This window comes from Homo sapiens, chromosome 15 (assembly GCF_000001405.40).
Source record: "Homo sapiens chromosome 15, GRCh38.p14 Primary Assembly".
NCBI classification, from domain to species: Eukaryota; Metazoa; Chordata; class Mammalia; order Primates; family Hominidae; genus Homo; species Homo sapiens.
In genome coordinates, this window is record NC_000015.10 from 24,580,341 (window position 1) to 24,588,733 (window position 8,393).

At 36.0% G+C, this 8,393-nt stretch overlaps 1 long non-coding RNA gene across 1 annotated transcript in view; it reads left to right on the forward strand.

Annotated features, from left to right (window-relative positions):
* The window catches only part of PWRN1 (Prader-Willi region non-protein coding RNA 1), a 29,624-nt gene extending 22,184 nt beyond the window's left edge, over nucleotides 1-7,440 (forward strand). The window contains exon 9 of the long non-coding RNA NR_026646.1: nucleotides 7,227-7,440. This is a non-coding gene — a long non-coding RNA (Prader-Willi region non-protein coding RNA 1). The remainder of the gene's footprint in view (nucleotides 1-7,226) is intronic.

Here is an 8,393-nt window from a genome sequence, read left to right on the forward strand (position 1 = left end):
CTTTGTATCACTAAAGGGGAAGTCAGATTGGTGAATATGTAATGTCTGTAGTGTCTCGTTGGGAACATTCACTGTATGTCGATGAATCAAAGATGTAGAAGGATCTAAAAGAATAATATCTCTGTCAAACTACTATACACATAATAGACTTACTTATACTTACTGAAAAAGTCGTTTTAGAATTTTGAATTTACAAGTTTTATTCATATAAAAATGAAAGTAATATTGAAATTAATTTATAAATTAAGTCACACATATTTTGGTATTCTGATTATGATTACTCTGAATTAGCTTTTTACCCAGAGCTATAGAAACCTTAACAACACCCTGTGTACATGAAGAGATATGGGAAAGCCATACTTTTTCATAAAAAAGAGGCTGTACCATTGTGGGATTTGCACCTTTCTTATTGATACCCATTCTGGTAGTTTTGATGATGGTGATCTTATGAGAAGGTGACAATATAAAATTTCAGGATGTATTCATCCATGTGCTGAAAAGTTGAATCATGTCATGGCTAACACAAGCCTAGCAGTGACAGTGATGAAAAGCAAAAAACAAAACAAAACAAAAAGACTCACACACATAGTAACACATAGTAAAATTGAAGAAATATGGTAATTAATAAAGATTTTGAAATATTCACCAAAGGAGCCTTATAAATAGAGCTAAATCTTGGTGAACAAGAATATTTTATTTAAACTAAGAGCACAACACTGTCCAAAAGGACCAAAGAAGTATGGATAAGCCAGGAGGAGCAGGGCCCATGAGAGGGTCTCTAGAGTGGATTGCGGATGGGTAGGCTGGAGAAGAAGCTTGATGGTGGGGGAGGAGTCAGGGCTCACACCCTGTCATGAGAACAGAAGAAAGCAAAAGAAACATGGTCATCTTCACATTCAAACCTACTTCAAATTGAGAGATAGAGTTTCTTGGGAAGTAGACAAGATTATAGGTGAGAGGTGTTTGAGAGGCGTTAATCCATTGGTGAAATTCAATATGAAGGAGAATCTTCTGTGTTACTCATTGTCCACTACATGTGTGGGGCTCACAGGGGAATGAAATAGACAACGCTTCCAAAATCTCTGATATTTAAACCTAGTGGGGATTCAGAAAACTTAACAGAAACTAAACTGCAAGTGGAGTAGTTGCCCTTGGGACCTCAGAGGACAGGCATCAGGCCTAGGATGGGAGGGACAAGGGGGGCCTCCAGGAGGAGGATCGTTGGAGGAGATGCTTGAGAGTGAGGTGCAGTGTGTCTAGCAGACAGGGGAGGGAAAGGGAAGAGAAAAACATGTGTTTGTGGCACAGGCCAGGCCATGAGAAAAGGGTGGTGGATTGGAAGGACCACTGGGATCAGTAATGAGGAGGCAGGAGCAGGAAGGGCAGATCACGGAGGGACTAGTAATGATCCAGAGGCAACTTTTCCCCCTGGACATACACATGTTCACATGCCTGTCTCTGCATGTTCTCTTACATGTTCTTTGATATTCTCATACAAACTTCATGATGTCCTCATGTCTCTGAGATTCTAACATGTGATATATATGAATTTATTCCCATATATATGTATATATGGGAATATATATGTGTGTGTATATGTTTGTGTGTGTGTGTATATATATACACACATATATACACATATACACACACATATACACATATATACACACATATACACACATATGTATATACACACACACATATACACACACACACACACACACACACACACACACACACACACATATATATTTTTTTTTTCGAGACAGTTTCTCTCTTGTTGCCCAGGCTGGAGTGCAATGGTACAATCTCGGCTCACTGCAACATCCACCTTCTGGGTTCAAAGGATTCTCCCACCTCAGCCTCCTGAGTAGCTGGGATTACAGGCACCTGCCACCATGCCCAGCTAATTTTTGTATTTTTAGTAGAGATCAGGTTTCACCATGTTGGCCAGGTTGGTCTCAAATTCTTGACCTCAGGTGATCTGCCCACCTTGGCCTCCCAAACTGTTGGGATTACAGGCATGAGTCACTGTGTCCAGTCCCCTTTCATATTTATAGTAATTGTTATCAACCTGAATATTTAGGGGTGGATTGTTTACATTTATGCTTTTAAAACTTAGTAAATAAAATTACTTCACTTAATATGCCTTTATTGATCATGCTTCAAAGTATCTGCTCTTTTTAAGGGACAGTCACATCTGCAAGCAAGCATTGTGTGAGGGCTATTGTGTTTTCTTTATTAATTTTGGATACTTCTATGTTCTGGAAACTATTAAGCTATCAATATTCTTTTAAACAATCTTGTTGCTTTATCTTTTACTTTGCTTTTACTTACCTTGCAATAGTATGTCTTTTTTGCTGCTTATTTTCCATTTGATTTTCTCTTGTTCTACTTTCCTATGGTGGAAACTTAGATGATGAAATTTGGTCTTTCTTTCAAACATATGTATTCAATAGAATCTCATTTAAACTCTACTTGTTACATCCATTAATTTCGTTAAGTTTTTTTCATTGCTATTTGGGTCAAAATATTTTTAATAAATCTTGAGATATCTTCTTTGGGCCATGTTGTGTATCGAAGTGTGTTGTTTAATCTCCATGTATTTGGGGATATTTCAGTTACCTTTCTGTTACTTACTTCTAGATTAATTTTCTCTTGGTCTGAGAGCAATCATTGTGTGAGTCCTATTCTTTTAAATTTAATAAGTGGTGTTCTAAGTCCTATAATATGGTCAGTCTTGCCAGTCTTGCAGAGGCATCCTTATGGGCTGGGGAAATATGTATATTATTCACATTGTTGGAGTTAGTAGTTTAAAGATATAAGTTATATTGAGTTGACTGATTGTATAGTTGAGTGATAATATGCCCTTGCTTGTATTTTACCTGTTGTATGTGTTGATTCTTGATAGAGAGTGTTGATGTCTCCAACGATAATAGTGGACTCATCTCTTTCTTCCTTAGATTCCCCCATCACCTAATTTAACACACTATTTTTAGGCTTATACCTATTGAGGACAGTTATATTTTCTTAGAGAATCACCCCTTTTATCCTTAACTTATGCCTGTCTTTTTTCTTCATCATTTTATTTGCTTTAAAGTCTGCTCTGTTGGAAATTAATATATGTACACTTGTTTTCTTTGATTAATGGAGTATGTTATGTTTATTCTATCTCTTCGTTGTTAATCCATGTGTCTTTATATTTAAATTAGTTTTCTTATGTAGGTGGGCCTTATTTTTACATCTACTCTATCTGTGTTTTTTAACTGGTACCTTAAGAACCCTGACATTCAAAGTGATTATTGATACAGTTGGAATCATATCCACTGTATTTGTTACTATCTTCTAGTTCTTGCACTGCCTTTGTTTCTATTTTTAAATGTCATCCAGTCATTTTCTTCCTTTTGTGGTTTTCATTCAGCATTTCATATGATTTCATCTTTTCTTTCTTAGCATGTAGGACATATTTCTTTTATACTATTTTATTGGTTACCCAAGGTAATAAAAACTTTTATTTTGTATATTCTTAATTGATCTTACATATAACACTTGTTTTTTCTTGTTTTTCTTTTTTTTTTTTTGAGACAGAGTCTCACTCTGTCACCCAGGCTGGAGTCCAGTGGTGCGATCTCGGCTCACTGCAAACTCCGCCTCCCGAGTTAACGCCATTCTCCTGCCTCAGCCTCCAGAGTAGCTGGGACTACAGGCGCCCGCCACCATGCCTGGCTAATTTTTTGTATTTTTAGTAGAGATGGGGTTTCACCGTGTTAGCCAGGATGGTCTGGATCTCTTGACCTCGTGATCTGCCCGCCTCGGCCTCCCAAAGTGCTGGGATCTGATTACAGGCGTAAGCCACCATGCCCGGCCATAACAGCTTGTTTAAAATAAAAATACCAAATACGTATATGATTATATATGCATAAGGTACATATACACATATGTATATACATATACATGCATATATGCACAAGTCTTTTTACATGTAAGTGAAATGAAAGGAAAGATACAAGGGACAAAAGAAAAAATACAAGAAAAAGGAGGAAATAATTAGGAGTATTCTGTTAATACAAGGTTGTCACTCTAATTCTGAAGTGATATACTCCTAAATGAAAGGGGCTTAGATTAGTGCCAACTGTAAATTGCAACCACCAGGGAAAGCTACTGAAGCAAGGGCATCAGTTCCTTGCTGCCTGTTGGCCTGAGGCTGCATTCAGTTCCTTCCCATGCTGGCTTCTCCCTCACGACAGAATGTGCCATCAGAGCCACCAAGGGAGAGGTTTTGCAGCAAGACAGAAGTCACAGTCTTATGTAATATGATCATCCAAGTGACATCCATCACACTGTAGTATTCGTTTGACTCAAAGCAAGTCTCAGGTTCTCCCTAAATTCACAAGGAAAGGATTAGCATGCCAGGTTGTGTACACCAAGTCGTGAGGATCACTGCGCACCATCTTAGAGCCTGCCTCCAACATTAGGTCCTGCCCAATCTGTAACAGTCGCTCAATCTTCACTTCTTTTGCTGACCTTGGCCTTTGTGAGAACAGGTCACATATTTTGTACAATGTATCACAGTCTGGATTTCTCTGAAGTTTTCTCATAATTTTGTTGAGCAGTATAGACAGACAGAAACACATTATTATCTACTTGTGAAACAAGAAACACCGAACAAGATATTATTTGCAAATGCAAAGTTAGAGAAAAAAACTTAAAAAGAACAATTTGTGAATGGCAAAATGAAAAATTAAAATAATAGTAACCTTCACTGGGATAAAATAAAAAGAAGAGGATGGAAATGGGAGATGCATACATGGGACGCAACAATATTGATAATCTTCTACTTATTAAACTCAATGGTGTACTTTAAAAAAATCTATTTTAGAATAGTTTTGGATTTTCAGAATGGTTAGAAATAAATACAGTGAGTTTATTTATACCCAACACACAGTTTCTCTTTTATTTAATTCTTACATTAGTATGGGACATTTGTCACAATTAACGAATCAATATTGTATATTATAATTCATTAACATCCACGATTAATCAGATGTCCTTTTTTCACGTAATATACATATTCTGTTCCAGGATTGTGTTCAGGACACCACACATTTAGGTATTGTGTACTCCTTTTGGGCGTGCCAGTTTCTCAGATTTTTCTTGTTTCTAATGTCATTGAAATCCCTCCTTTGGGATTCATCTGATGTTTCACTCATGATTAGATGGCTGTTCTGGGGTTTGTGGAGGAAGACCACTAAAGGAAAGTTTTATTCTCATGAAATTATAACAGGGTTATATATTATGGGCATGCAGTATCACTTACTTCTTTCTTTCTCTCTCTCTCTCTCTCTCTCTCTCTCTCCCTCTGTCTCTCTCTCTCTGTCTCTCTCTCTCTGTCTCTCTCTCTCTCTCTTCTTTCCCTCCCTCCCTCCCTTCCTTCCTTCCTTCTTCCTTTCCACACAGTCTCTCTCTGTTGCCCAGGCTGGAGTGCAGTGGCGCAATCTCGGCTCACTGCAACCTCCGCCTCCTGCCTCAGCCTCCCAAGTAGCTGGGACTACAGGCATGTGCCACCACACATGGCTAATACATTTTTATTTTTTTGTAGAGATATAATGTCCCTATTTCCCAGCCTGGTTTCCAAGTCCTGGCTTCAAATATTTCTTTCACCTTGGCCTCCCAAGGTGCTGGGATTACAGTGACCCAGCCACTTTATCACTGCTAATGTTAGTTTTATTATCTGGATGAAGTAGTTCAGTTTGGTTTTCTCTACTACAAAAGTAATGATTCTTCTCCCTCTTCATGATGTACTTGTTTGAAAAAAGTCACTATGAAAAGCACATACTTAAGAAGTAGAGAATTATCCTCCATCTCTGTAAGGGCAGAACTCTTGTAAATACCATTTGTATTTCTTAAACAATTTTTAATGTTCTTTTGGCTGTCCTGGATCAATTGCATTTTCCTATGCATTTTTAAATCAGTGATCCAATTATTTCAGAAAATAAAGAAAAAGTGCGAGCTAGAATTTCCGCAGGGACTATATTGAATCTGCAGATACATTTGGAAAGTATTAGCATCTTGGTTAATACTTAATAGCATTCTGATCAATGAAAATCTAATGTTTTTTCATTTATTTAGGATTTCTTTCTTTAATACAATATCTTTTTAAATTTTCAGTGTATAAATCTTGCAGTTGTTATGTTAAATTTATTTCTTTATTTAGGATTTCCTTAATACTTCAATGTCTCTTTAAATTTTCAGTGTATATATCTTACAGTTGTAATGTTAAATTTATTTTTTATTTAGAATTTCTTTAATACTTCAATATCTTTTTAAATTTTCACTGTATATATCTTGCAGTTGTTATGTTAAATTTATTTTCAAATGTATTTCCTTTCTGGTGCTATATTAAATGAAATCATTTTCTGAGTTTTATTTTTTGATTCATTTGTATTGTGTTAGACCACAATTTTTTACACTGATCTTGCATGCTAATGCATTACTGAACTTTTTGTTTTTGTTGTTATTTCAACCTTATTTTAGTGGATTCCTTAAGATTTTCCATACACTAGATTATGTGACTGGCCAATAGAGATAGTTTGACTTCTTCCTTTTCAATCTGGAAGACTTATATTATTTTCCTAGCCTAATTTTCTCAATTACATCCTCAGGCATAATGTTTAATAGAATTCGCAGGAGTCAATAACCGTTTTGTGTTTCTAATCTTGGGGAAATTACTGAAACTTACTTGATACCTTGTGGTGTTATGTGAGAGTTTCATAGATGCCCTTTTTAGATAAAGAACATTCCCTTCTATGCAAAACTTAATGAGTATTTTTACTGTGAGTGGGTGTTGGACTTGGATTTGTCAAGTGCTTATTCTGCATCTTTAGACGTGATGAGGCTTTCATCATATAGTGTTTTTTTTAATGTAGTGTATTACACTAATTCTTTTATATGCTTTACCAAATTTGTGATCCTCAGTAAATAAATACCCTTGGTATTACTATACAATCCTGTTTCATGATCCTGACTTATGTTGAAAGTATTTCATTTAGGATTATTGCCTGGGTATCCATAAAGCATATTATAGTTTTCCTTTTTTGGACTGTCTTTTTCTGGTTGTGGCATCAGAGGAAACGGCTTCATAGAATGCACTGCACACTGATCTCTTCTCTGTGGTTTATATTTTCGTGGAGAACAGTTAGTGAAGAATTGCTATTGATATTTTAAAGGTTTGGAATAATTCACTGTCGAAGTCTTCTTGAGCTGAGCAGTCATGTGAGCTTGGAAGATGATCCCTCTCCAGCTGATCCTTCAGCTCAGGCCATCATCTACATCTGGATTCCTGACCCGGAGAAACTATGAGTAATGTGTGCTGCTTTTGAGCCACTAAGCTACATGGTAATAGGCTATGCTTCAATAAACAATAATACACTTGATGATAAATGTAATATGTTATTCTGAATTAGATCCAAAAACAGAAAAATGGAATTAGTGGAAAACCTGGTAAAATATGAAGACAGACAATACTTTAGTTAATAGTTTTGTACCTTTATCAATTTCTGAGTTTTCATAGATATTCTGTGGTTATGTATGATATTAATATTACAGGAAATTGAAGGATATATAAAACTTTATGTAAGAGCTTAGCACTGCTCTATCAATCTGAAATTATTTTAGAATAAATAGGAAGTGTAGACATGCTCATATATTTGAGATCAGGACTTGCTGTTAACTTAAATGAGCTTTTGTGGGACCTGAAACTCATGATGCAAATGCAGTATTATTATAAAATATAAGTAATATTAGTTTCTATTTTATTCACTCTATTCTTCTGGGAACACCAAAGCCCATCTATTCTCTCAAGTAGTATCCAAAAGTAGGATTGAGTCTAGTAACAAGTAAACAGCACAGAAGATTTTATGGAAACTATAATGCATTTACATTTGTAGTAACTAATCATAAAATGACTTGCAGGATAATTATCCACATAATTAGAATGACCATGGGAAAGAGAAAAAAAGTAGAAATGCAACTTTCTGAATTTAGAAACTGTATCTGAGCAAGTGTGGTGGCACACACCTGTAGTTCCAGCTTCTAGGGAGAGCGGGTAGAATGATCACTTGACACGAGGAGTTTGAGGCTGTAGTACACCAAAATTGTACCTGTGAATAGCCTCTGCACTCCAGCCTGGACAATACAGTAAGGCCCATCTCTAAAATAAATAAATAAATAAATAATTGGATTTATACTACAAGTTTCAGAGATTGTTGCTTATATTTCTATGATTAGGGCTGAAATTATCTAGATTTTTCTGTTTTTAGAGAGCTGCCGTGATATGGTTTCGCTCTGTGTCCTCACCCAAATCTCATCTCAAAGTGTAATCCTCATGTGTTGGA